The 27430-nt window shown below is 53.0% G+C and overlaps 2 protein-coding genes across 5 annotated transcripts in view, besides 10 other annotated features; both read left to right on the top strand.

Moving 5' to 3' along the window:
* The window catches only part of B9D2 (B9 domain containing 2), a 9733-nt gene extending 6397 nt beyond the window's left edge, over positions 1 to 3336 (top strand). For all 3 annotated transcript variants that reach the window (XM_011527350.3, NM_030578.4, XM_011527349.3), the window contains one exon: positions 2740 to 3336. In XM_011527350.3, coding sequence (XP_011525652.1) covers positions 2740 to 3053 — 314 coding nt within the window. In that variant the 3' untranslated portion in view covers positions 3054 to 3336. The remainder of the gene's footprint in view (positions 1 to 2739) is intronic.
* Positions 2954 to 3455: an enhancer, noted in NCBI's record as "H3K4me1 hESC enhancer chr19:41860203-41860704 (GRCh37/hg19 assembly coordinates)". NCBI's record gives its function as "activates a minimal SCP1, AML or CMV promoter by ChIP-STARR-seq in naive H9 embryonic stem cells {active_cell/tissue: H9 hESC(naive)}" and the evidence as "EXISTENCE:reporter gene assay evidence [ECO:0000049][PMID:30033119]".
* Positions 2954 to 3528: a biological region, named in NCBI's record as "H3K4me1 hESC enhancer GRCh37_chr19:41860203-41860704".
* Positions 3379 to 3528: an enhancer, noted in NCBI's record as "active region_14678". NCBI's record gives its function as "activates an Ori minimal core promoter by ATAC-STARR-seq in GM12878 lymphoblastoid cells {active_cell/tissue: GM12878}" and the evidence as "EXISTENCE:reporter gene assay evidence [ECO:0000049][PMID:35858748]".
* Positions 3529 to 4058: a silencer, noted in NCBI's record as "silent region_10664". NCBI's record gives its function as "represses an Ori minimal core promoter by ATAC-STARR-seq in GM12878 lymphoblastoid cells {active_cell/tissue: GM12878}" and the evidence as "EXISTENCE:reporter gene assay evidence [ECO:0000049][PMID:35858748]".
* On the top strand, positions 3831 to 27430 carry TGFB1 (transforming growth factor beta 1). Of its 2 annotated transcripts, none has more exons than NM_000660.7 (7): positions 3831 to 5063; positions 9298 to 9458; positions 12889 to 13006; positions 15506 to 15583; positions 15723 to 15870; positions 25472 to 25625; positions 26543 to 27430. In NM_000660.7, the coding sequence occupies exons 1-7, from the start codon at positions 4709 to 4711 to the stop codon at positions 26699 to 26701; spliced, it is 1173 nt and encodes a 390-aa protein (NP_000651.3). In that variant the 5' UTR covers positions 3831 to 4708; the 3' UTR covers positions 26702 to 27430. The 2 variants fall into 2 exon arrangements, with proteins under 2 accessions (NP_000651.3, XP_011525544.1); XM_011527242.3 differs by having other exon boundaries at positions 15720 to 15870.
* Positions 4209 to 4278: a silencer, noted in NCBI's record as "silent region_10663". NCBI's record gives its function as "represses an Ori minimal core promoter by ATAC-STARR-seq in GM12878 lymphoblastoid cells {active_cell/tissue: GM12878}" and the evidence as "EXISTENCE:reporter gene assay evidence [ECO:0000049][PMID:35858748]".
* Positions 4579 to 4658: a silencer, noted in NCBI's record as "silent region_10662". NCBI's record gives its function as "represses an Ori minimal core promoter by ATAC-STARR-seq in GM12878 lymphoblastoid cells {active_cell/tissue: GM12878}" and the evidence as "EXISTENCE:reporter gene assay evidence [ECO:0000049][PMID:35858748]".
* Positions 4819 to 5218: a silencer, noted in NCBI's record as "silent region_10661". NCBI's record gives its function as "represses an Ori minimal core promoter by ATAC-STARR-seq in GM12878 lymphoblastoid cells {active_cell/tissue: GM12878}" and the evidence as "EXISTENCE:reporter gene assay evidence [ECO:0000049][PMID:35858748]".
* Positions 6073 to 6432: a silencer, noted in NCBI's record as "silent region_10660". NCBI's record gives its function as "represses an Ori minimal core promoter by ATAC-STARR-seq in GM12878 lymphoblastoid cells {active_cell/tissue: GM12878}" and the evidence as "EXISTENCE:reporter gene assay evidence [ECO:0000049][PMID:35858748]".
* Positions 6603 to 6702: an enhancer, noted in NCBI's record as "active region_14677". NCBI's record gives its function as "activates an Ori minimal core promoter by ATAC-STARR-seq in GM12878 lymphoblastoid cells {active_cell/tissue: GM12878}" and the evidence as "EXISTENCE:reporter gene assay evidence [ECO:0000049][PMID:35858748]".
* Positions 22752 to 22851: an enhancer, noted in NCBI's record as "active region_14676". NCBI's record gives its function as "activates an Ori minimal core promoter by ATAC-STARR-seq in GM12878 lymphoblastoid cells {active_cell/tissue: GM12878}" and the evidence as "EXISTENCE:reporter gene assay evidence [ECO:0000049][PMID:35858748]".

Genomic DNA, 27430 nt, shown 5'->3' with positions numbered 1-27430 from the left:
GCTGAGCTAAGGCCTTCCCAGGCCTGCTCAATAGGCGATCCCAAGTTTGTATGATTAGGGCAGAGGCCAGGGTGGAGCAGGAGGTGGGAAGGTGGGGGGTCAGGGTGGGAGGGGAGGTGGCATTCAAGTAAAGAGACAAAACGAGAGTCTCCAATAAAGAGGAAGCCGGGAGGCAGGGTCTGAGAGAGGCAAGGGCTGTTTCTCCAGGAAGGGCTCCTCGGCTTGAAAGTAGAGCTGCTGCTCAAAGGGGAAATCAGTACTGGGGGAGGAGCGGCATCAGAAAGCCTTTCTAGTAGAAAATGTGGGTTCCTGGAGATGAGTTGATTCTGAGAAATTGCCTAGGTAAATGTGCCATATATTTCACCAATATAAAGAACGTCTACCTGGTACCTGCCCTGTGTCCAGCCTGTGTTGGGTGATGCCAGGGAGACATTGAGGATCAAGGCAGTGTCCCTTAGCCTTGTCCTCACAGGGTTCACCGTCCTATGGGGGGACACACCTCTCTCCAGACAGTGGCACCTCAGAGTGGGCAGGACTAAGATAGGTGATTTGGAGAGGCTGTGGGAGCCCAGAGGAAGTGGCTGACTCTGTCAGGGAGGTCAGAGAGGGCTTCCTGGAGGAGGGGGCTTCTGAACTTTGCTGTGAAGGGCCAGCGGAGCTAATAAGGCAGAGGGATAGAAGAAGGTTCTAGGCAGAGGGAGCTACGTGGAAGACTCAAAGGGGAAAGTGAGCCAAGGGCATCTAGTGGATTGAGGGAGAGCGGGACGGCAGAGGGGAAAGGCAGAAGGGGACAGGCCATGCAGGGCCTTGAGTGCCAGGCTGAGGAGCTGAGGCCATCTCCTGAAGGCACTTGGGAGCCAGAGCAGGTAATGGACAAGTGAGATTTCACCTTTTTTTTTTTGGAGACAGAGTTTCACTCTGTTGCCCAGGCTGGAGTGTAGTGGCAAGATCTCAGCTCACTGCAACCTCTGCCTCCCAGGTTCAAGCAATTCTCCTGCCTCAGCCTCACGAGTAGCTGGGACTACAGCCACGTGCCACCACATCTGGCTAATTTTTGCCTTTTTTTTTTTTAATAGAGATGGCGTTTCACCAAGGTGGTCAGGCTGGTCTCGAACTCCTGACCTCAGGTGATCCACCTGCCTCGGCCTCCCAAAGTGCTGGGATTACAGGCATGAGCCACCGCGCCTGGCTGAGATTTCACTTTTAAATAATCTTTCTGTCTTTTAAGCTGGAGCTGGGGAAAAAAAAAATCTTTCCGGTGCTGTGTGGGTGAGGTGGGCAGCTCTAACCTTTCAGCTCTTGGGGCCTCCAGTCCCCCAGTGGTGGCACCAGCCTTGCTTTCTCTTTTCTCAAGCCCCCATTTTGTCCATCAGGAAATCTTAAACTGCCTCTACTTTTGAAATACATCCTAAATCCCACTTCTTACCCTTTTCTCGCCCAGCACCTTGATCTGTCCAAGTTCTTCTCTCACATGGACTATGACAAGAATCTTGTCTCTGGAGTCCCCTTCCCCAACCCCCCTGGTCTGCACCCCACATGCAGCTGGGACCCTGTGAACACCTAAGTCAGGTCCCATCTCTGCTCTGCTCAGAACCCTCCAATGGTCCCCATCTCACTCAGGGTGAAAGCCATAGTCTTAGCATGCATCACAAGGCTCTCCACAACCAGGCTGGCACCTCCTTCCCGTCTCCCCACCTCATTCTGCTCTAGCCATGCTGTCCCCACCAGGCACACTCCGTCTGGGCTCCAGCCATACTGTCCCCACCAGACAGTCCCCCCCCAGGGCCTTGGCACTTGCTGTTCCCTCTGGCTAGGAGCACTCTTCCTCTAGATGGCCACATGGCCTACTCCCTTCCTTCCTTTTAGCATTTGCTCAAATGTCACCTTCTTAATGAAGCTTCCTTGATCCCCTTCTTGCTAAAGCGGTATCCCCACCCTCACCCTACCCAGCTCTGTTTTCCCTCACAGCAATTACCACCATCTGATCTACCCTATAATTTGCTTATTTACTACATTCGTTGTCTAGGATATCAGCTTCACGGGGGCAGGAATTTTTGTCTGCCATCCATGTTCATGTCTGCCGTGTCCCCAGCTAGCTAGAACAGAGTCTAGCACAGGAGAAGGGATCAGCATGAGATGAGATGGGGCTGGATCTCCAAGGGCTTTGACTACCAGACTGAGGAGCTGAACTGTGTTCTGAGGACATGGGCAAAGCTATGGAAGGAGAGAAAGATGCTTCCAGATGCCAGGTGGAAGGTGGATTAGAGAGGGGCAAGAAAGAAGGCCCTGGGCCCAAAGAGAGCAGGGCAGGGACATGAGGGAAGGCAGGAGGTGTCCCTGACAAGGCCCATGATGGTTACCTGGGGACTGGAGGAGCAATGGGCTGCCCTGACATGGGGTCATGGAGGAGGATAACACAGAGAGGAAATTCAGCAGAGGTCTGATTAGAAGGGCCTTGAATGTTGAAGAGGTTGGACTTTATACTGAGGGCACTGGGGAGCTATGGAAGGATCCTTAGCAGGGGAGTAACATGGATTTGGAAAGATCACTTTGGCTGCTGTGTGGGGATAGATAAGACGGTGGGAGCCTAGAAAGGAGGCTGGGTTGGAAACTCTGGGACAGAAACCCAGAGAGGAAAAGACTGGGCCTGGGGTCTCCAGTGAGTATCAGGGAGTGGGGAATCAGCAGGAGTCTGGTCCCCACCCATCCCTCCTTTCCCCTCTCTCTCCTTTCCTGCAGGCTGGCCCCGGCTCCATTTCCAGGTGTGGTCCCAGGACAGCTTTGGCCGCTGCCAGCTTGCAGGCTATGGATTTTGCCATGTGCCCAGTAGCCCGGGCACCCACCAGCTGGCCTGCCCCACGTGGCGGCCCCTGGGCAGTTGGCGAGAACAGTTGGCACGGGCTTTCGTGGGTGGTGGGCCGCAGCTGCTGCATGGGGACACCATCTACAGTGGGGCCGACCGCTATCGCCTGCACACAGCTGCTGGTGGCACCGTGCACCTGGAGATCGGCCTGCTGCTCCGCAACTTCGACCGCTACGGCGTGGAGTGCTGAGGGACTCTGCCTCCAACGTCACCACCATCCACACCCCGGACACCCAGTGATGGGGGAGGATGGCACAGTGGTCAAGAGCACAGACTCTAGAGACTGTCAGAGCTGACCCCAGCTAAGGCATGGCACCGCTTCTGTCCTTTCTAGGACCTCGGGGTCCCTCTGGGCCCAGTTTCCCTATCTGTAAATTGGGGACAGTAAATGTATGGGGTCGCAGGGTGTTGAGTGACAGGAGGCTGCTTAGCCACATGGGAGGTGCTCAGTAAAGGAGAGCAATTCTTACAGGTGTCTGCCTCCTGACCCTTCCATCCTTCAGGTGTCCTGTTGCCCCCTCCTCCCACTGACACCCTCCGGAGGCCCCCATGTTGACAGACCCTCTTCTCCTACCTTGTTTCCCAGCCTGACTCTCCTTCCGTTCTGGGTCCCCCTCCTCTGGTCGGCTCCCCTGTGTCTCATCCCCCGGATTAAGCCTTCTCCGCCTGGTCCTCTTTCTCTGGTGACCCACACCGCCCGCAAAGCCACAGCGCATCTGGATCACCCGCTTTGGTGGCGCTTGGCCGCCAGGAGGCAGCACCCTGTTTGCGGGGCGGAGCCGGGGTGCCCGCCCCCTTTCCCCCAGGGCTGAAGGGACCCCCCTCGGAGCCCGCCCACGCGAGATGAGGACGGTGGCCCAGCCCCCCCATGCCCTCCCCCTGGGGGCCGCCCCCGCTCCCGCCCCGTGCGCTTCCTGGGTGGGGCCGGGGGCGGCTTCAAAACCCCCTGCCGACCCAGCCGGTCCCCGCCGCCGCCGCCCTTCGCGCCCTGGGCCATCTCCCTCCCACCTCCCTCCGCGGAGCAGCCAGACAGCGAGGGCCCCGGCCGGGGGCAGGGGGGACGCCCCGTCCGGGGCACCCCCCCGGCTCTGAGCCGCCCGCGGGGCCGGCCTCGGCCCGGAGCGGAGGAAGGAGTCGCCGAGGAGCAGCCTGAGGCCCCAGAGTCTGAGACGAGCCGCCGCCGCCCCCGCCACTGCGGGGAGGAGGGGGAGGAGGAGCGGGAGGAGGGACGAGCTGGTCGGGAGAAGAGGAAAAAAACTTTTGAGACTTTTCCGTTGCCGCTGGGAGCCGGAGGCGCGGGGACCTCTTGGCGCGACGCTGCCCCGCGAGGAGGCAGGACTTGGGGACCCCAGACCGCCTCCCTTTGCCGCCGGGGACGCTTGCTCCCTCCCTGCCCCCTACACGGCGTCCCTCAGGCGCCCCCATTCCGGACCAGCCCTCGGGAGTCGCCGACCCGGCCTCCCGCAAAGACTTTTCCCCAGACCTCGGGCGCACCCCCTGCACGCCGCCTTCATCCCCGGCCTGTCTCCTGAGCCCCCGCGCATCCTAGACCCTTTCTCCTCCAGGAGACGGATCTCTCTCCGACCTGCCACAGATCCCCTATTCAAGACCACCCACCTTCTGGTACCAGATCGCGCCCATCTAGGTTATTTCCGTGGGATACTGAGACACCCCCGGTCCAAGCCTCCCCTCCACCACTGCGCCCTTCTCCCTGAGGACCTCAGCTTTCCCTCGAGGCCCTCCTACCTTTTGCCGGGAGACCCCCAGCCCCTGCAGGGGCGGGGCCTCCCCACCACACCAGCCCTGTTCGCGCTCTCGGCAGTGCCGGGGGGCGCCGCCTCCCCCATGCCGCCCTCCGGGCTGCGGCTGCTGCCGCTGCTGCTACCGCTGCTGTGGCTACTGGTGCTGACGCCTGGCCGGCCGGCCGCGGGACTATCCACCTGCAAGACTATCGACATGGAGCTGGTGAAGCGGAAGCGCATCGAGGCCATCCGCGGCCAGATCCTGTCCAAGCTGCGGCTCGCCAGCCCCCCGAGCCAGGGGGAGGTGCCGCCCGGCCCGCTGCCCGAGGCCGTGCTCGCCCTGTACAACAGCACCCGCGACCGGGTGGCCGGGGAGAGTGCAGAACCGGAGCCCGAGCCTGAGGCCGACTACTACGCCAAGGAGGTCACCCGCGTGCTAATGGTGGAAACCCACAACGGTGAGCTCGGAGGGGCAGGGGAGCCGGGAGGGGGGCCCCCAGGGGGCGCCGGAGTGCCGGGGCCACGGGTAGGAAGTGACTGGCAGAAGAAACTGGCTGGAGGAAGAGGACACCCCGGGGCAAAGGGAACGTGTGATGGTGGGAGGGGGGTGTCCGAAAGAGGATGGCACTGAGCCCCCTACCACCCAGGTGTCTGGTCTTGGAGAGGAGGAGATAGCGAAGTGGACCGCTTCTAGAGTGCGACAGAAACATGCGGGGTCGTGGGGGCAGTCCCCTAGAGGGAGACAAGCAATAGGGGGAGGGTAGAAGGCTCCCTCTTCCAGGACGCGTTGAATGGGGGGGGGGGTCGTGGGGTGCCAGGTGCAGAGAAGGGAGCCTGGTGTGGGAGAAGCGAAGACCCCAGCATTTGGGAAAGGAGAGGCGCTGGAGAAAGTTGACCCAGAGCTTGGGGGTCCTGAGGTGGAAAGATTCAAGAAGGACAGAAAAGCTAGATGAAGGCAACCCCAGAGGGTGCCAGGAAAGTGAGAGCGGACCCACTTCCAGAGGCTGCCAGGAACACGCGGGATGCGGGGGTGGGGGAGAGTCGTAGAAAGAGAAACAGAGGTGCGTGTGATAAATGTGGGGAGAAAGGGACGGGAGGTTATTGGAAGGAGGAGGCAAGCGGGAGAGGAGCGGAGACTCGGGAGGGCGCCCGGGATGCAGAGGTGTCCTCGGTGTTTCACACAGGGACGTGAGGGACAGAGTGGGGAGCCCAGCGGAGGAATCGAGCTTCCAGAAGACCTAGAGTCCTGGGTCATGGGAAGGGCTTTACCGAGAGGGGAGACAGGCGTGGGAAAGGTGGTGTGAGCGGGGAGGAGGAGAGATACCCAGCGCCATCCACGCTGCATTCCCCGCAGGATGCAGGGGAATGGGCTGAGCGGAGTCCAGCCGCAGGGGAAGTGCTGGGTGGGGGGTGACTCTACAAGACCGAGGTGAGAAAACCAAGCTGGGAGGAGTGAGAAAGCCCCACGTGGGTGCCACGCGCGGGGGGAGGAGCCTGCGCTTCCACCAAGGGGCAGGAGGACCCCGCTGCGCTAAACGCTGGCAGTCTGGACCCCAAAGTCCCAGTTCCTCTCAGGGTGGCTGGGGAAACCCCAGCGTCCGGCGGCCTCATCCCCCTCCCTTCCCTTTCCTTCCCATGCCCCCGGCGGAGGCGGGGATCGCTCGCGGAGCCCGGGGCGAGACGGGGCAGGTCTGGTCCCCGCCCTCCTGGCTGCGGCGCCTCCCGCCCTCCTCACCCCAGCTACGGGCGGGGCTCCCACTCAGCCGGCCCCGTCGGCATCCATGCGAGGACCCAGGCGTCCCGCGTGGTTCAGAGCCTTGGGGAAGATCCCTCAGGTTTCACTGACTCTTGGGCGGTGTGGGCTTGCGGGTTCCCTGCCCATTTCTGCGCCAGTTTACAGCTCCAGCCCAATGACGCGCACTCCGCACCCAAGTCTCAGCCTTACCTTATCTTCCGTGGCTTCACCTTCGTTGTAGAGGTTCCTTTAACACTGACACCTCCAATCCTCTTCTCCCCAACAAATGCACATGTGTCTCGTCTCGCACGTGTCTCCCCATCTGCCTCTTTCTTTTCGTCTCCGTTAGTCTTTCTGTCCACGCATGGGTCTCCTGGTTTTTGTCTCTCCGACTATTTTCTCTCCCTTTCTATTTTTCTCCTCCACGGTCCTGTTGCCTCGTCTCCGTCTCTGACATCTCCCCGCCTCTCCCTCTCTGCATCACCCTCCAACCCTTCCTCTCCCTCCTCTCTGTCTTCCTCCCTATCTGTCTTCCCCAGCCAAGGCTCTGCCTTTCCTTTGGGGTTTGCTGAGTAACCTCCGGGCCAAGAATAGGGCTTACTGGGGCTGGGTGGGGAGGGAGACTGGGGAGGAGGAGGAGGATCGAAGGGGGCCGTAGGGGAGGGGTTTCCTCTGCCTTTCTCACCAGTCTCTTTTCACACCCCCACTATGGGAGGCTGGAAGCAGTTGCCCCAGTTGATCCAGCAGTTCATGGCCTGTTCCCTCATCCCCATCCCCAAACTTTTCCTAAACTAGAAAATACCTTGGCTGGGCGCGGTGGCTCACGCCTGTAATCCCAGCACTTTGGGAGGCCAAGGTGGGTGGACCACCTGAGGTCAGGAGTTGGAGACCAGCCTGGCCAACATGGTGAAACCCGGTCTCTACTAAAAATACAAAAATTAGCTGGGCGGGGTGGCGGGCGGCGCCTGTAATCCCAGCTACTTGGGAGGCTGAGGCAGGAGAATCGCTTGAACCTGGGAGGCAGAGGTTGCTATGAGCCAAGATCGCGCCACTGCACTCCAGCCTGGGCGACAGAAACTCCATCTCAAAAAAAAAAAAAAAAAAAGAAAAGAAAACACCTTAATTCCTTTTCTCCCCACTACAGCCATTCCTACCCAGAATGAACTTCACTTTCCCTAACCAGCTGGGGAAGGGAGTTAAGGGTGGAAAACTAATAATAAAAATAAGTAGAAGAATCACTTAGGGGTTAAGAGCACAGTCTCTAGCTGGGTGGGTGTGGTGGCTCATGCCTGTGATCTCAACATATTGGGAGGCTGAGGCGTGAGGATCCCTTGAGCCCAGGAGTTCCAGCCTGCCGTGAGCCATGGTTGTGCTACTGCACTTCCGTCTGGGGGACAGAGTGAGACCCTGTCTCTTGGGGGAAGAAAAAAAAAAAGCACAGTCTCTGGAATGAGACAGCTTGAGTTTGAATCCCAGTCTGCAGCTATGTGACCTTGGGGCAAATTACTTAATCTCGGTGCCTCAGTTTCTCATCTATTAAACGGGTATAATAATAGTATAAGGTTGTGAGGTTTAAATGTCTTCATCTTTGTAAAGTGCTTTAGATAGCATCTGGTAAATAGCGCTGTTTTGTGGTTTTTTGTTGTTGTTGTTTTTGAGACAGAGTCTTACTCTGTCACCCAGGCTGGAGTGCAGTGGCGCAATCTCGGCACACTATAACCTCTGCCTCTCAGGTTCAAGCGATTCTCATGCCTCAACCTCCCAAGTAGCTGGGATTAGAGCCGTCCGGCACCATGCCTGGCCAATTTTTGTATTTTTAGTAGAAACGGGGTTTCACCATGTTGGCCAGGCTGGTCTCGAACTCCCGACCTCAAGTAATCAATCCACCTCGGCCTCCCAAAGTGCTGGGATTACAGGCGTGAGCCACTGCGCCCAGCCAGCACTCTTAGACGTATACATGATTGAGTGACCAGTGTATGCAGAATTGGTGCCACATGGCTTGACCTGGGTCATCTAATTTCCCACTATAATACTGGAATGGGTTCTAGAGTCACTCTGTCTTGTCTTACACCTGGCTCAGAGAGAGGAATTCACTTGCCCAAGGTTACACAGCGCTTAAATTAGGAGAGTCTGTGTGGGAATGCAGGGAGCTTAATGTTATTGCTGTTTTTCAAAGAATAACAGGAAACTGACATTCAGAAAGAGGGTGTTAACTGCCCATGGTCACACAGCCAAGAGGCAGCAGAGGCACTATCTGAGTCCAAAGCCTGTGCCTTTGATCCTTACTCTGCATTTTAGGGGCTCTTGCATTTGGGGCAAGGAAGGCCAGAGCAAACAGAGTGGTTCCCCTTGGTGCCAGCCTTAGTCGACTTGAGAGATGATGCTACATGAGAGAGGAATGTGGTTAGGACCTATTTTACAGAGGAGGAAACAAACCTAGGGGGAGAAACCACTTCCTCAAGGTCACACAGCTAAAAAGTATCACAGTCAGGGCTGGGCGTGGTGGCTCACACCTGTAATCCCAGCACTTTGGGAGGCCGAGGCGGGTGGATCACGAGGTCAGGAGATCGAGACCATCCTGGCCAACATGGTGAAACCCCATCTCTACTAAAAATACAAAAATTAGCTGGGCATGGTGGCATGAGCCTTTAGTCCCAGCTGCTCGGGAGGCTGAGGCAGGAGAATTGCTTGAACCCTGGAGGCGGAGGTTGCAGTGAGCAGAGATTGCGCCACTGCACTCCAAGCCTGGGTGACAGAGCGAGTCTCCGTCTCAAAAAAAAAAAAAAATTCATTTAAATAAATAAATAAATAAATAAATAAATAAATAAATAAATAAAAGGTATCAGAGACTGACTCCACCCCAGAGCTGTCAGCTCCAAAACTCCTAGAGTTGGGAGCACCAGCTCCCCTCACCTCTGCCAAACCCCTGATCGCCTCCCTTCATTTCTCCCTGCTAGAAATCTATGACAAGTTCAAGCAGAGTACACACAGCATATATATGTTCTTCAACACATCAGAGCTCCGAGAAGCGGTACCTGAACCCGTGTTGCTCTCCCGGGCAGAGCTGCGTCTGCTGAGGCTCAAGTTAAAAGTGGAGCAGCACGTGGAGCTGTACCAGGTGAGGACATGAGCCAGAAGGAAGGTCAGGGCATGGGCTGGAGAGGGTGAGCTGTGACCAAGGGGGTGGCTGTGGGTCGGCTGGTTACAAGGTCCACCTAGATGGTCCCTGAAGGATAGAAGAACACAAACCATACAATCCTAGAACGCTTTTTTTTTTTTTTTGAGACAGTGTCTCACTCTGTTGCCAAGCTGGAGTGCAGTGGTATGACCTCAGCTCACTGCAATCTCCGCCTCCTGGGTTCCAGTGATTCTCCTGCCTCAGCCTCCCAAGTAGCTGGGATTACAGGTGTGCGCCACCACGCCCAGCTAATTTTTGTATTTTTGGTAGAGATGGGGTTTTACCATGTTGGCCAGGATGGTCTCGATCTCCTGACCTCGTGATCCACCTGCCTCGGTCTCCCAAAGTGCTCAGATTACAGGCGTGAGCCACTGCGCCTGGCCTCTTTTTTTTTTTTTTTTTTTTTTGAGATGGAGTCTTGCTCTGTCGCCCAGGCTGGAGTACAATGGGGTGATCTCGGCTCACTGCAACCTCCGCCTCCTGGGTTCAAGTGATTCTCCTGCCTCAGCCACCCGAGTAGCTGGGATTACAGGCATGTGCCAACACGCTGGGCTAATTTTTGTATTTTTAGTAGAGACAGAGTTTTATCATGTTGGCCAGGCTTGTCTCAAACTCCTGCCCTCAAGTGATTCTCCTACCTGAGCCTCCCAGAGTGCTGGGATTACAGGTGTGAGCCACTGCACCCGGAACCTAGAGCACTTTTAAATGTTCAGACTCTTTGCATCCTAGGATGTTAAACACTTAGAAGGCTGGAATCTTAGGAGTTGGACTCTTTAAGGACACAGGATTCTTGAAAGTTGGAATCTCTGAAAAGGTTGGGGGCTCTAGAATCATTCTGTCCAATATGACAGCCACTAGTCACATTTAGCTTGATTAAAATTTAAATTGTTTAAAATTAAATTAAAAATTTAGGGCCAGGCATAGTGGCTCACACCTCTAATCCCAGAACTTTGGGAAGCCGAGGCAGGCAGATTGCTTGAGCCCAGGAGTCCGAGACCAGTCTGGGCAACATGTTGAAACTTCGTCTCTACAAAAAATACTAAAATTAGCCTGTTATGGTGATGCGTGCCTCTAGTCCCAGCTACTCAGTAGTCTGAGGTGGGAGGATTGATTGAGCCCAGGAGGTCGAGGCTGTAGTGAACTGTGATTGCACCACTGCATTCCAGCCTGGGTGATGGAGCGAGACCGTCTCAAAAATATATATATATAGGCCAGGCGTGGTGGCTCATGCCTGCAATCCCAGCACTTTGGGAGGCCAGGGTGGGTGGATCACTTGAGGTCAGGAGTTCAAGACCAGCCTGGCCAACATGACGAAACTCCATCTCTACTAAAAATACAAAAATTAGCCAGGTGTGGTGGCAGGCACCTGTAATCCCAGCTACTTGGGAGGCTGAGGTGGGAGAATCGCTTGACCCCAGGAGGTGGAGACTGCAGTGAGCGGAGATCATACCACTGCACTCCAGCCTGGGCAACAGAGCGAGACTCTGTCTCAAAAAAATAAAAATGAAAAAGAAATCCTCATTCTCACTGGCCATATTTCTAGTACTCTATAGTCACATGTGGTTAGCAGCTACTATTTTGGATGTTGCAGATAAAGCACATTTCCAGAAAGTTCTTTAGGACAGCACTGCTCTAGAAGATAGGGAGCTTCCAAGAGGACTGGGGCATCTGGAAGGGCTGGAGGCTCTAGCAGTTTCTATGAGCTAGAATCCATATCAGAGGGAATGTTAACTCATAGGATGGTAGATTTCAGACTTTCACAGTGAGAGAACTTTGTCCTATGTTAGCTTGGCTTCTTGGAGTCTGGGGAATTCAGCTTTATTCTGCAGTCCCTGGAGTGGACTATCCAGCCCCAGAAAATTCTTCTTTTTTTTGTGTGTGTGTGTGATGGAGTTTTGCTCCTGTTGCCCAGGCTGGAGTGCAATGGCACCATCTTGGCTCACCACAACCTTTGCTTCCTGGGTTCAAGCGATTCTCCTGCCTCAGCCACCCGAGCAGCTGGGATTACAGGCATGCACCACCACACCTAGCTAATTTTGTATTTTTAGTAGAGACGGTGTTTCTCCATATTGGTCAGGCTGGTCTCGAACTTCTGACCTCTGGTGATCCACCCTCCTCGGCCTCCCAAAGTGCTGGGATTACAAGCGTGAGCGACTGTGCCTGGCCCAGAAAATTATTCTACACAGATGTTGGGTACCTGCAGCATCTAGGTGCGGCATGGCAGACTCTTGGGTTTATAGAACATTAGTCTTCTAAAGCTTCTCAGGCTCTAGAAGTGGAAATCTTGGGATATTATCAAACATTTGAATCACAAAATGACTTTTTTTTTTTTTGAGACAGAGTCTCACTCTGTCACCCTGGCTAGAGTGCAGTGGTGCAATCTCGGCTCACTGCAACCTCTGTGTCTTGGGTTCAAGTGATTCTCCTGCCTCAGCCTCCTGAGTAGCTGGGATTACAGGCGTGTGCCACCACGCCTGGCTAATTTTTGTATTTTTAGTAGAGACGAGGTTTCACTTTGTTGGCCAGGCTGGTCTTGAACTCCTGACCTCAGGAGATCCACCCGCCTTGGCCTCCCAAAGTGCTGGGATAACAGGCGTGAGCCACCGTGCCCAGCCGGAATCATTAGAAATGACTTCTAAGTTACTGAGAATTCAGGGTGTCAAATTTGCAGAACCGTATGCTCAGTAAACCCCAGAATGTTTGCAGCAGAATTTTATTTTATTTATTATTATTATTTTGAGACGAAGTCTCGTCCTGTCGCCCAGGCTGGAGTGCAGTGGCGTGATCTTGGCTCACTGCAGTCTGTGTCTCCCGGGCTCAAGCAATTCTCCTGCCTCAGCCTCCCAAATAGTGGCGACTACAGGCGTGTGCCACCATGCCTGGCTAATTTTTGTATTTTTAGTAGAGATGGGGTTTCACTATGTTGGCCAGGCTGGTCTTGAACTCCTGACCTCAAGTGATCCACCCACCTTGGGCTCCCAAAGTGCTGGGATTACAGGCGTGAGCCACTGCGCCCGGCCCAGAATGTTAGCAGCAGAATTTTAGCATTGTGGGCTGTCCACGCTGAGTGGGGCTTAGCATTTCACCAATGAGGAAACAGGCCTCGAGAAGGCAAGAAAACACCTTCGGCTGAGCTGTGTGAAGGTGACTTGACCGCAGCCTGAGCTTTTTCTCCACCCCTCCTCTCATGGGTACTGTTGGGGAGGATGGGTGCCACAGGACCACACAGGTGGCTGTCTGAGAGGGTAGTGCCTGGGAACTTTCTGGAAGCCTGTTTGGGGAAGCAGATGGGGTGAAGGATTCAGTTAGTGTATGTGGGGTCGTGACACCATCTACCCACTGTCTCTCTCCTGCCTTCATCATCCTCTAGAAATACAGCAACAATTCCTGGCGATACCTCAGCAACCGGCTGCTGGCACCCAGCGACTCGCCAGAGTGGTTATCTTTTGATGTCACCGGAGTTGTGCGGCAGTGGTTGAGCCGTGGAGGTGAGGATTACTTGTGTGTCCCACCCCTGTTTCTCCCTGGGGTCCACCCCATTGTTTGTCCTGGGGTCACTTTGCCTAGGACCCCTCTCCGCCCCATACTGGTGTGAAAGTGCTGAGACCTGGCTCCCCTCTGTGGCATGGAAACCTGAGTGATTGGCTAATCTGTTTCCTGAGCACCTCTCTGCCCTGCCCTGTGATGGGTGATGCCAAGGACACAGCAATGACCAAAACAGCCCCATCCTTGCCCTCACAGAGCTCATATAGTCCATTGGCTAGGTAGCTGGGGAACAGACCTGTAAGGCAGTGATGACCCAGAGTGGGTGGGACTGGGATGGGGAGCCCAAAGGAGGTACCTGACCCAGCCCAGAATCAGGGAGGGCTTCCTGGAGGAGGGGCACCATAGCTGATGTTGAAGGGATGAGTAGAATGGTCAGGAAAAGGAGAGGTGTAAGAGTATTCTGGGGCTGGGCATGGTGGCTTATGCCTATAATCCCAGCACTTTTGAAGGCCAAGGAGGATGGATCACTGGAGCTCAGGAGTTTTGAGAGCAGCCTGGGCAACATGGCGAAACCCGGTCTCTACACAAAAATACAAAAATTAGCCATGCATGCTGTTACGTGCCTGTAGTTCCAGCTGCTTGGGAGACTGAGGTGGGAGAATCACCTGAGCCTGGGAGGTCGAGGCTGCAGTGAGTCATAATCACACTACTGCAATCCAGCCTACATGAAAGAGTGAGATCCCATCTCAAAAAAAAAAAAAAAAAAAAGATTCCAGGCAAAGGGAACAGCCTGTGCAAAGGCCTGGAGGCCAGGGAGAGCCTAACTAACTCATTTGATCTGTCCAGGAGATGATTGTCTCTGTCTGGTTTCTGGCAGGGCCCATGGTGCCCCTATCTCTCTCCCTCACCTCCCTCTCATTTATGCTTTTATTCAATAATTGCCCACAGGTTCCTGCTGTGTGCCTGGCCATGTGCTGGGTGGTGTGGGGGACATAGTGATAACCAAGACAGCCCTCAGTTCTGCCCTCATGGGGCCCACAGTCACTTCTGGACACCTAAGAGATCTTGTCAAGGCCCCACCAGGCAGGAATGACCTAGAATGATCAAGAATGGGATGGGGAGGCACCAGCAGGGAGGACAAGGCTGGGACAGGGAGGCATGCAGGATGGGGGAACGCCCTAAGTGCTGTTGGGAGCCCAGAGAAGGCACCTGGACCCATCTGGGGAGTCTAGGAGGGCTTGCTGGGTGAGGGTGATTGTGTGGAGACTCACAGGATAAATAGTAGTTTGGCCACATGAAAAAAAAGGGATTAGGGGGCCTGGCATGGTGGCTCACGCCTGTAATCCCAGCACTTTGAGAGGCCGAGGTGGGTGGATCACCTGAGATCGGGAGTTCGAGACCAGCCTGACCAACATGGAGAAACCCCGTCTCTACTAAAAATACATAATTAGCTCGGCGTGGTGATGCATGCCTGTAATCCCAGCTACTCGGGAGGCTGAGGCAGGAGAATTGCTTGAACCCAGGAGGTGGAGGTTTCAGTGAGCCAAGATCGTGCCATTGCACTCCAGCCTGGGCAACAACAGTGAAACTCCGTCTCAAAAAAAAAAAAGAAAAGAAAAAGAAAAAATAGGGATTAGGGAGCAGGTGGGCACTGGGAGGAGTGTCCTGGGCTGTTCGACAAAGGCCTAGAAGGAGCTCATCTGTCTTGGTCAATGCTGAGTCCCAAGCACACAGCACAGGCTTCGGCACATTGTAGGAGCCTAGAAAACATCATTCACTCATTCATTCAAGAGATTGATGCTGGCTGGGTGCAGTGGCTCATGCCTGTAATCCCAGCACTTCGGGAGGCCAGGGCAGGAGGATTGCTTGAGCCCAGCCTGGGCAACATAGTGAGACCTCTGTCTCTACAGAGAATTTAAAAAGTAGCCGTGTAGGCCGGATGCAGTGGCTCAAGCCTGTAATCCCAGCACTTTGGGATGCCAAGGCAGGCGGATCACCTGAGGTCAGGAGTTTGAGACCAGCCTGGCCAGCATGGTGAAACCCCATCTCTACTAAAAATACAAAAAATTAGCCGGGTGTGGTGGCGCATGCCTGTTATCCCAGCTACTTGGGAGGCTGAGGCAGGAGAATCGTTTGAACCTGGGAGGTGGAGGTTGCAGTGAGCTGATATCACGCCACTGAACTCCAGCCTGGGCAACAGAGCCAGACTCCATCTCAAAAAAAAAAAAAAAATTAGCCATGCGTGGTAGCACGCGCCTGTGGTCCCAGCTACTCGGGAGGCTGAGATGGGAGGATTGCTTGGGCCTTGGAGATTGAGGCTGCGAGACCTTGTCTCAAAAAAAAAAAAAAAAAAAAAAAGAGAGAGCTGCAGTGAGAGGGCAGAGTGGGGTGGGTGGGGGAGGCAGGAAGGAAGCCCCTGGGGTTTGCTCCTTCCTTCCTCTTCCTCCAGGGGCTGGGTGAGCTGCACTCTCAGACTGGCTTCCCTCTCGCCACTCCTACAGGGGAAATTGAGGGCTTTCGCCTTAGCGCCCACTGCTCCTGTGACAGCAGGGATAACACACTGCAAGTGGACATCAACGGTGAGGCCTGCTTCCCCGGCCATGCCCAGTTGTGACGTGTGTGCGTGTGTGTGTTCCCATCTGCCCCACGCCCCACTTATCTATCCCTCTGAGAGTGTGTGTGTATGTCCCCTATCCCCTGACTCCCACACCAAAGCAGGGTTCACTACCGGCCGCCGAGGTGACCTGGCCACCATTCATGGCATGAACCGGCCTTTCCTGCTTCTCATGGCCACCCCGCTGGAGAGGGCCCAGCATCTGCAAAGCTCCCGGCACCGCCGAGCCCTGGACACCAACTATTGCTTCAGGTGAGCCTTGTAGCCTGGATGGAGGCCTTCCAGGCTGGGGGCATGACTGCCATCTGCTGACCAGGTGCTCCAGGTTGGACACCTGGCTGCTGCTGTGCTTGGGCTGAGCATCTGTCTCCTTTAGCTTGGAGGGCTCAGGGGATGAGGTCTGGGTGTAAGAACCAGGAGTCTTGTGCCAGGTGCGGTGGCTCACGCCTGTAATCCCAACACTTTGGGAGGCTGAGGCAGGTGGATCACCTGAAGTGAGGAGTTTGAGACCTGTCTGGCCAACATGGTGAAACCCGTCTCTACTAAAAATCCAAAAATTAGCCAGGCGTGGTGGGCGCCTATAATCCCAGCCACAAAAAACAAAAAAAGAACTGGGAGTCTTGTAATGTTGGGATCAGGTTCCTTTTTTTTTTTTTTTTTTTTTTTTTGAGACAGAGTCTCGCTCTGTCACCTGGGCTGGAGTGCAGTGGCGCTATCTTGATTCACTGCAAGCTCCACCTCCCGGGTTCACACGATTCTCCTGTCTCAGCCTCCCGAGTAGCTAGGACTACAGGCACGTGCCACCACGCCCAGCTAATTTTTTTGTATTTTTAGTAGAGATGGGGTTTCACTGTGTTAGCCAGGATGGTCTCCATCTCCTGACCTCGTGATACACCCACCTCAGCCTCCCAAAGTGCTGGGATTACAGGCGTGAGCCAACGCGCCCGGCCTAATTTTTTGTATCTTTAGTAGAGACTGGGTTTCACCATGTTAGCCAGGATGGTCTTGATCTCCTGACCTCGTGATCCGCCTGCCTCAGCCTCCCGAAGTGCTGGGATTACAGGTGTGAGCCACCACGCCCAGCCTTGCTTTCTTGCTGGAGTGTTGGAATCACAGAATGTTAGAAAGTTGAACCCTGTGATTGTTGGAATTCAAAGTTGGAAGGTCACCATCTTGAATCCCTAAATTGTTGGCAGGTTGAGGTTCTAGAATGCTGGGATTCTAGAATGCTAGAATTTGGTGTTAATTACTGAAATGGAAAATGTCGGACTCAAGGAAAGCTGAAACATTGGAATCCTAGAATTTGGGGATTCAAAATGGGAAGATGGCCCATGTGGAATTCCTGCACCACTGGCCAATTGTGGATACCAGTGTTGGCAGATTGGAGTCCTTGAATATTGGGCTCACAGTGGTAGAATTCTGTTTTGAAATATTCACATCCACAAATGTTGGAGTTGGAGAAAGCAGAATATTGGTATCTCAGCATGTTGGAACTCAGTGTTGGAATGTTAGAATATTAGAATGCTGGGATTTTATTAATAGAAAGTGGCAGCAGGCTGGGCGCGGTGGCTCACGCCTATAATTCCAGCACTTTGGGAGGCTGAGGTGGGCGGATCCCTGAGGTCTGGAGTTCAAGACCAGCCTGGCCAACATGGTGAAACCCCATCTCTATTAAAAATACAAAAATTAGCCAGGTGTGGTGGCTGGCACCTGTAATCCCAGCTACTCGGCTGGGATTACGGCTATCCAGGTACCCAGGCTGGGGCAGGAGAATCACTGGAACCTCGGGGGTGGAGGTTGCAGTGAACCGAGATCGCGCCACTGCACTCCGGCCTGGGCAATGATGCGAGACTCCATCTAAAAAAAAAAAAAAAAAAAAAAAAGAAAGAAAGTGTCAGTTTGAACCTCTTGAGTGATGGCTCAGAACTTTGGAATGTTGGGATGCAATACTGGCATACTGGAATTCAGGAATGCCAAGATCCTCAAAGGTTGGAAAGGGGGAATCCTAGAGAGTTGAAGATGCTGTCAGAATGTTAGAATCATAAGATGCTGGAATGCTAATACTGCAATCTAAGAAAGCTGAAATGTTGGATTCCTAGAAAGTTGAAATGGAGAGTTAGAATGTTGTAAATTTAGAGTGATCATCTGACCTTATTCCTCCCTTGCTTAAAATATTTTGGTCCTGTCTCTGGGCTTTGTTACCGGCTGTTTCCCTGCCAGAAAATCAGCCCTGCTCCCAGGCTCCTTCACCACCAGATCTTAGCGCCATCAGCCCAGCAACGCTGTCAATGAACAAATTGAGGTCTTTTTTGAGACAGAGTCTCGCTCTGTTGCCCAGGCTGGAGTGCAGTGGCGTGATCTCGGCTCACTGCAACCTCCGCCTCCCAGGTTCAAGTGATTCTCCTGCCTCAGCCTCCTGAGTAGCTGGGATTACAGGCGTGTGCCACCACACCCGGCTAATTTTTGGTTTTTTTAGTAGACACTGGGTTTCACCATGTTGGTCAGGCTGGTCTCGAACTCCTGACCTCGTGATCCACCCGCCTCGGCCTCCCAAAGTGCTGGGATTACAGGCATGAACCACTGCGCCCGGCCACAAATTGAGGTCTTGAGTGCCAACAGCTCCTGACATTACAAAGGGAGATAGCCAGCCATGTCAGCCTCCGTAGGGAGGGACCCAATGTTGCCTAGGAAGTCTTGGCAAAAAATCAAACCTGAAGGCCAGGTGCGGTGGCTCATGCCTGTAATCCCAGCACTTTGGGAGGCCAAGGCAGGCAGATCGCTTGAGCTTAGGAGTTCAAGACCAGCTTGTGCAACATGTTAAAACCCTGCCTCTGTACAAGAAATACAAAAAAACTAGCTGGCTGGGTGGTGTGTGCCTGTAGTCCCAGCTACTTGGGAGGCTGAGGCAGGAGTGCTTGAGCCTAGGAGGTTGTGGCTGCAGTCAGCCAGGATCACGCCACTGCATTTCAGGACAGAGCAGGACCTTGTCTCAGGAAAAAAAAAAAAAAATCAAACCTGAATCTGATCAGGACTGTAGATCCTAACAGTTTTCTAGAAAGACAGGAACAGAGGAAATGGTCAGCAAAACTCAGACTGCAAGAAACCTCACCCAGTTTCTTCATCAAATACAATGCAAAGAAGGGGAAAGCACACACACACACACACGTACCCCCCATGCAACCAAAAATTCACATACAAGTTTTGACTCCCCAAAAACTTAACTATTAATAGCCTACTGTGGACTGGAATTCTGCTTTATCCACAACATAAACAGTTGATTAATACTTTTTTTTTTTTTTGGAGACAGAGTCTCTGTCATTCAGGCTGGAGTGCAGTGGTGCGGTCTCGGCTCACTGCAGCTTCTGCCTCCCGGGTTCAAGTGATTCTCTTGCTTCAGCCTCCCGAGTAGCTGGGACCACAGGTGCCCACCGCCACGCCCAGCTAATTTTTTGTATTTTAGTAGAGATGGGGTTTCACCGTATTGCCCAGGCTGGTCTTGAACTCCTGAGGTCAGGCAATCCGCCCACCTCAGCCTCCCAAAGTGCTAGGATTACAGGCATGAGCCACTGCTCCCGGCCGAATAATACATATTTTGCATGTTTTATGTATTATGTCCTATATCCCCTTTTTTTTTTTTTGAGACGGAGTTTCGCTGTTGTCACTCAGGCTGGAGTGTAATGGCACAATCTCAGCTCACGGCAACCTCCACCTCCCGGGGGTTCAAGCAATTCTCCTGCTTCAGCCTCCTGAGTAGTTGGGATTATAGGCACCTGCCACCATGCCCGGCTAACTTTTGTATTTTTAGTAGAGGTGGGGTTTCACCATGTTGGCCAGGCTGGTCTTGAACTCCTGACCTCAAGTGATCTACCCGCCTCAGCCTCCCAAAGTGCTGGGATTGCAGGGGTGAGCCACGCACCCGGCCGTATTCTTTGTTTTTTTTTTTGAGACAGAGTCTAGCTGTGTCACCCAGGCTGGAGTGCAGTGAAGTGATCTCAGCTCACTGCAACCTCCGCCTCCCAGGTTCAAGCAATTCTCCTGCCTCAGTCTCCCAAATAGCTGTGATTTCAGGCATCCGCCATCGCACCCGGGTAATTTTTGTATTTTTAGTAGAGACGGGGTTTCACCATGTTGGCCAGGCTGGTCTTGAACTCCTGACCTCAGGTGATCCATCAGCCTCGGCCTCCCAAAGTGCTGGCCTTACAGGCTTGAACCACTGCTCCCGGCCTATGCCTGCATTTTAAAAATAAGATAGAGAAAAGAAAATGTCCTTAAGAAAATCATAAGGAAGAGGAAGTATATTTTCCATTCATTGAGTGGAAGTGGCTTATCATAAAGGTCTTCATGTTGAGTAGGCTGAGGAGGAGGAAGAAAAGGTGTTGGTCTTGCTGTCTCAGGGCAGAGGTGGAAGAAAAATTCACCTGTAAGTGGTGAATTTTGTAAGAGGACCCATGTAGTTCAAACCCATGTCCAAGGGTCAGTCTATATATAGTTGACCCTGAATATATATACAGAGAGAGAGAGAGATGATTTTGTAGATTTTGAAAAAAGTCCTAAGAGAGGCCAGGTATGGTAGCTCACACCCGTAATCCCAGCACTTTGGGAGGCTGAGGCAGGTGGATCACTTGAGGTCAGGAGTTGGAGACCAGCCTGGCCAACATGGTGAAACCCTGTCTGTACTAAAAATACAAAAATCAGGCCAGCTGTCGTGGCTCACACCTGTAATCCCAGCACTTTGGGAGGCCAAGGTGGGTGGACCACCTGAGGTCAGGAGTTCGAGACCAGTCTGGCCAACGTGGTGAAACCTCCTCTCTACTAAAAATTCAAAAATGAGCCAGGCGTGGTGGCGGGCCCTGTAATCCCAGCTACTCTTGAGGCTGAGGCAGGAGAACTGCTTGAACCCAGGAAGTGGAGGTTGCAGTGAGCCGAGGTCGCGCCATTGCACTCCAGCCTGGGCAACAAGAGTGAGACTCCCGTCTCAAAAAAATAAATAAATAATTAAAAATACAAAAATTAGCAGGGTATGGTGGCAGGCGCCTGTAGTCTTAGCTACTTGGGAGACTGAGGCAGGAGAATCACTTGAACCTGGGAGGCACAGGTTGCAGTGACCCGAGATTGCACCACTTCACTGCATCCTGGGTGACAGAGTGAGACTCCATCTCAAAAATTAAAAAAAAAAAAAAATCCTAAGAGACATATCAACCAATTGCAATGTGTAGACCTTACTTGAATCCTTATTTACACAGGCTTAAAAAAAAAAGATATTTATGAGACAGTTGGGTAAATGTGAACTCTGTCTAGATATTCCTCTAGATATCAAGGAATTGTTAATTTTCTTACATGGTATTGTGACTGTGTTTTAAAGTAGTCTTAATTAGAGATACATTTGAAATATTTATGGATGAAGCAACACGGTGGATTGCATGTGCTTTGAGATAAACCATTGTCGGCTGGCTGCAGTGGCTCACAGCTATAATCCCACCACTTTGGGAGGCCAAGGCAGGAGGATTGCTTGAGCCTAAGAGTTGGAGACCAGCCTGGGCAATATGGTGAAACCCCATCTCCCAAAAAAAAAAATATGAAAAGTAGCTGGGCCTGGTGGTGTGTACCTTTTGTCCCAGCTACTCAGGAGGCTGAGGTGGGAGGTTGGCTTGAGCCCCAGGAGCTGGAGGCCACAGTGAGCTGTGATTGCACCACTGCACTCCAGCCTGGGTGACAGAGTGAGATCCTGTCTCAAAAAAAAAAAAAAAAGAGATAGTGGATAGGGGTAGAGATGCAATGGAAATTGGCCATGAGTTGGTCATTGTTGAAGCTGCTTTTGTGTACATCTGAAACTTTCCAGCTGGACGCGGTGGCTCACACCTGTAATCCCAGCACTTTGGAAGGCTGAGGCGGGTGGATCACATGAGGTCAGGAGTTCGAGACCAGCCTGTCCAACATGGTGAAACCCTGTCTCTACTAAAAATACAGAAAAATTAGCTGGGTATGGTGGTGTGTGCCTGTAATCCCAGCTACTTGGGAGGCTGAGCCAGGAGAATTGCTTGAACTTGGGACATGGAGGTTGCAGTGAGCCAAGATTGCACCACTGCACTCCAGCCTGGGGCAACAGAGCAAGACTCCATCTCAAAAAAAAAAAAAAAAAACTTTCATAGGAAAATTTGTTCTTAAGGCAGCTCGAACACTACCTCCTTCCTAACCCCTTTCTCCAACATCCAAGATGGATGTGAGGCCTCTGGGCTCCCCTGGGGCCCTAAGTAGATCTTTGACTCAACAAACAGTCTCTGTTGGGTCTTTTATTTATAAAAAGTTTTGTAGCGACAGGGTCTCACTATGCTCCCCAGGCTGGTCTTAAACTCCTTGGGCTCAAGCGATTCACCGGTCTTGGCTTCCCAAAGTGCTGAGATTACAGGCGTGAGTCACTGCACCTGGCCTAGGTCTTGAGAGACTGGACGGAAGAGGCTTGGCAAGGGCAAGGGCTGTGGGTATCCCAAGGCCCGGTGCAGGGTAGGCCCCGAATGTGTGCTGAAAAAATGAGTCAGAGGATCACCTAGACGGCTTGTTCAACACGGACTGTTGTTCCCAGTCCTGCACACAATTTCTGATTTCAGTGGCCTGGGGTGCCACCTGAGAATCTGCATTTCCCATAGTTCCCAGGTGATGCTGCCGCTGGTCCTGGGAGCTCACGTGGAGAGCTGCTGACTTGGATAACAGTATCACAGATTGTTCAAATCCTAGGATCTCAGAACCCCAGCTAGGGTTGAACTGCATATTAAAGATGATTCTGAGCCGGGTGCGGTGGCTCATGCCTGTAATCCCAGCACTTTGGGAGGCCGAGGTGGGTGGGTCACCTGAGGTCAGGAGTTTGAGACCAGCCTGACCAACATGGTGAAACCCAGCCTCTACTAAAAATACAAAAAATTAGCCAGGCATGGTGGCACATGCCTGTAATCCCAGGTACTTGAGAGGCTGAGGCAGGAGAATTGCTTGAACCCGGGAGACGGAGGTTGCAGTGAGCTGAGATCACACCATCGCACTCCAGCCTGGGCAACAGGAGGGAAACTCCATCTCAAAAAAAAAAAAAGATTCCGGACACTAGTTCTTCCCCTTTTGTGAGTTCAGAACTTCCTGTGAGAAAGTGAAAGCCAGGACTCTTTTTCCCAGAAATACATGCATACATACACACATGTGCATATGATCTCAGGCACTCATGGCCCTCCCTAAGCCTGCCCATGATGGCCCCTTGGCCCTCAGCTTAACACCTTATTTTATCTAGTAGCTCCTACCTCTGAACAGATGAGGAAACTGAGGTCCAACCAAATTGGGTGGTACGGGCTGAGTTCACAGGGATCTCAGTTTCTTGACTTCCTTCTCAGGCTTCTGTGGCTCTTGGAAAGGCTTTATCTTGCCTCTAGGTTATCCGGTGCCACTTGAAGTTGGGTTCAAGCGATTCTCCTGCCTCAGACTCCCCAGTAGCTGGGATTACAGGTGCCCGCCACCAGGTCCAGCTAATTTTTGAATTTTTAGTAAAGACAGGGTCCTCAAGTCTGCCTGCCCTAGCCTCCCAAAGTGCCGGGATGACAGGCGTGAGCCACCGTGCCTGGCTGGCCCCACCAATCTATGAGCAGAGGTTGCAGTGAGCCAAGATTGCACCACTGCACTCCAGCCTGGGTGACGGAGCAAGACTCTGTCTCAAAAAAAAAAAAAAAAAAAAAAGGCATTGTCAACTTTTTCTTTTCTTTTCTTTCTTTTTTCTTTTCTTTTCAAGACAGAGTCTCACCCTGTTGCCCTGGGTGGAGTGCAGTGGCACGATCTTGGCTCACTGCAACCTCTGCTTCTTGGGTTCAAGCAGATTCTTGTGCCTCAGCCTCCTGAGTAGCTGGGATTACAGACAAGCACCGCCACACCCAGCTAATTTTTGTATTTTTAGTAGAGACGGGGTTTCGCCATGTTGGTCAGGCTGGTCTCAATCTCCTGATCTCAGGTGATCCACCCGCCTTGGCCTCCCAAAGTGCTGGGATTACAGGCGTGAGCCACTGCACCCGGCCTCTTTGACAGTTCTAAGAAGTAAAATAAACCAGAAGAAGGCAGGCAGAGAGTAATAGATATTGGGAACTGTTATTTTTCCTATTCTGATTTAAATTCCTTTATTATGGAAAATTTCAAATGTATACAAAAGCAATGAAGATAATGAATGCCCGTAAACTCTCATCCAGCGTCATCGGTAATTAAGATTTTGCCCCATTTCAAATGCAGACATTTTTATATTTTCTTGCATAACTGCAATACCGTATTGCACTAAATGGAACTAACAGTCACTTGGATATTTTGGAAAGGATGGCTCAGAAAGGTATCTCTGAGGAGGTGATGTTCAGTCATGTAACTGATATTTACTAGTACCTACTGCATTCCAGACACTGCTTTAGGAGTTAAGGGTCCCTGAGTGAAGGACATTTGAGCTAAGGTTTAAATGAAGTGAAGGGGCCAGGTGTGGTGGCTCATGCCAGTAATCCCAATGCTTTGGGAGGCCGAGGCGTGCGGATCGTTTGAGCCCAAGTTCGACACCAGCCTCAGCAACATAGTGAGACCGTGTCTCTAAAAAGAATAACAAATTAAAAAGAATAAATAGGCCAGATGCAGTGGCTCAGGTCTGTAATACCAGCACTTTGGGAGGCTGAGGTGGGCGGATCACAAGGTCAGGAGTTCGAGACCAGCCTGGCCAACATGGTGAAACCCTGTCTCTACTAAAAAGACAAAAAAATTAGCCGGGCATGGTGGCACACGCCTGTAATCCCAGCTACTCGGAAGGCTGAGGCAGGAGAATCGCTTGAACCTGGGAGGCGGAGGTTGCAGTGAGCCGAGATCATGCCACTGCACTCCAGCCTGGCAGACAGAGTGAGACTCTGTCTCAAAAAAAAAAAAAAAAAAAAATAGAAAAAAAAAGAAGAAATGAAGTGAAGGAACAAGCTGGAGTGGGTATCTGTGGGACTAGCAAGGCAGGCAGAGGGAACAGCAGATGCAGGAGCCCCGAAATAAGACTGTCTGAGGAACAGACAGGACGCCAGTGTGGCTGGAGTGGAGTAGGCGTGAGAGAGGGAGTTGAGATCAGCCAGATTTGATAGCACCTTGTGGCTCACGGTGAGGACTTGGGCATTTGCCGTGAGATGGAGCCAGGTTCAGAGCAGAGGAGTGACAAGACAATTTATAGCATGCCCATGGAGGGCAGAGATTTCTGTCTCTTTTTTAAAAAAATTGAAAAAAAATTTTGTAGAGACAGGGTCTTGCACTTTGTTGTCCAGGCTGGCATGCAGTGGTGTTATCATAGTTCACTGCAACCTCGAACTCCTCGACTCCAGCGATCCTCCCACTTCATCCTCCCAAAGTGCTGGGATTAAAGGTGTGAGCCACCATGCCTAGCCTATTTCTATCTGTTTCATTTGTCCTCAGTCCACAGTAGATCCCAGCCCAGCACACAGTAGTAGTTCAATAAACATTTGTTGCACAAATAGAGCAGATCAGTTTACATGGAGCTGTGTTATTTTGTATGTTCCAGGGTGTGGCATGCCATGATTTATTTAGCCCCCCCGTGGATGGTCATCTGGCTTCTTACAGGCTTGTCTTAAGCATTGCGTGAAATTAATTATTACATTGCTCTTAGCACTGGAGGAAGTGCTTAATCTGTGTTAGTGATTATCATGACTATTTGTGTTGTTATTAACACAGTGGGTGCAAGGGAGACCCAGATGGAGATAGGGCTGGGGGGGCAACCTAGGGTGACACACGCACCTGGGGAGGAGGGGCATGTGGCTTCTATGGTGGTAGCCCCTCCCTGCCCCTGACGCGTCTCTCCTGCCTGCAGCTCCACGGAGAAGAACTGCTGCGTGCGGCAGCTGTACATTGACTTCCGCAAGGACCTCGGCTGGAAGTGGATCCACGAGCCCAAGGGCTACCATGCCAACTTCTGCCTCGGGCCCTGCCCCTACATTTGGAGCCTGGACACGCAGTACAGCAAGGTACGTCTGGCCCACCGGGCTACGAGATGCGCTTGGGGGGAGCCAGGACGGAGGAAGAGGAGAGAGAAAGAGAAGTAAAGTCAGAGAGGTGAGTTGGCAGGATGGGGAGAAAGAGAGGGATGGGGTGGGGAGGGGAATGAATAAAGAGATGGGGAGAGAGGCAGGAAGCTAGAGAGGGGCTCTGAGCAGGGGCCAGAGGGAGATGAGCTATGAAGACCCACAGAGTGAAGTAACAGAGGGATGGGGGTGAAGGGGAGAAGAGAGACAGGGAGATGGAAGGAAAAACGCAGAAATGGAGAGACAAAATGAGAGAGACAGATACAGACACAGAGTTAGGCCAAGGAGAGACAAAGACAGATACACAACAAGGCAAGAGGCGAAGATGAGGAGGGACAGAGACTGAGAAAGAAAATCAGGCGGGCGCGGCGGCTCACGATGGTAATACCAACACTTTGGGACGCTGAAGCAGGAGGATCGCTTGAGCCCAGGAGTTCGAGAGTAGCCCAGGCAGCAGACTGAGATCCCATCTCTACCAAAAAAAAAAAAAAAAAAAAAAAAAAAGCTAGGAGTGGTGGCGCTTGCCTGTGGTTGGAGCTACTCCGGAGGCTGAGGCGGGAGGATGGCTTGCGCTCAGGAGGTTGAGGCTGCAGCGAGCCATGATCGTGCCACTATACTCCAGCCTGGGTGGCAGAGCGAGACCCAGTCTCAAAACAAAAAGAAAATCAGACAGGTGGGGAGAGACAGAATAAGATAGGATGTTAGAAGATAAGAGAGACCGAATTGGAGATGGGAAGAGGGGATGCGGGGAGAGACGAAGTGAGAGAGGCTGGCGCGGTAGCGGGTGGGGGATGGGGCAGTGGAGGGCCGTTTTCCTCCCTCCACGAGCCCTGAGCCCTGACCCCGCCCGCCGCCCGCAGGTCCTGGCCCTGTACAACCAGCATAACCCGGGCGCCTCGGCGGCGCCGTGCTGCGTGCCGCAGGCGCTGGAGCCGCTGCCCATCGTGTACTACGTGGGCCGCAAGCCCAAGGTGGAGCAGCTGTCCAACATGATCGTGCGCTCCTGCAAGTGCAGCTGAGGTCCCGCCCCGCCCCGCCCCGCCCCGGCAGGCCCGGCCCCACCCCGCCCCGCCCCCGCTGCCTTGCCCATGGGGGCTGTATTTAAGGACACCCGTGCCCCAAGCCCACCTGGGGCCCCATTAAAGATGGAGAGAGGACTGCGGATCTCTGTGTCATTGGGCGCCTGCCTGGGGTCTCCATCCCTGACGTTCCCCCACTCCCACTCCCTCTCTCTCCCTCTCTGCCTCCTCCTGCCTGTCTGCACTATTCCTTTGCCCGGCATCAAGGCACAGGGGACCAGTGGGGAACACTACTGTAGTTAGATCTATTTATTGAGCACCTTGGGCACTGTTGAAGTGCCTTACATTAATGAACTCATTCAGTCACCATAGCAACACTCTGAGATGCAGGGACTCTGATAACACCCATTTTAAAGGTGAGGAAACAAGCCCAGAGAGGTTAAGGGAGGAGTTCCTGCCCACCAGGAACCTGCTTTAGTGGGGGATAGTGAAGAAGACAATAAAAGATAGTAGTTCAGGCCAGGCGGGGTGGCTCACGCCTGTAATCCTAGCACTTTTGGGAGGCAGAGATGGGAGGATTACTTGAATCCAGGCATTTGAGACCAGCCTGGGTAACATAGTGAGACCCTATCTCTACAAAACACTTTTAAAAAATGTACACCTGTGGTCCCAGCTACTCTGGAGGCTAAGGTGGGAGGATCACTTGATCCTGGGAGGTCAAGGCTGCAG

This window comes from Homo sapiens, chromosome 19, assembly GCF_000001405.40.
Source record: "Homo sapiens chromosome 19, GRCh38.p14 Primary Assembly".
In the NCBI taxonomy this organism is placed as follows: Eukaryota; Metazoa; Chordata; class Mammalia; order Primates; family Hominidae; genus Homo; species Homo sapiens.
This window is presented reverse-complemented; position numbering and strand designations above follow the sequence as displayed.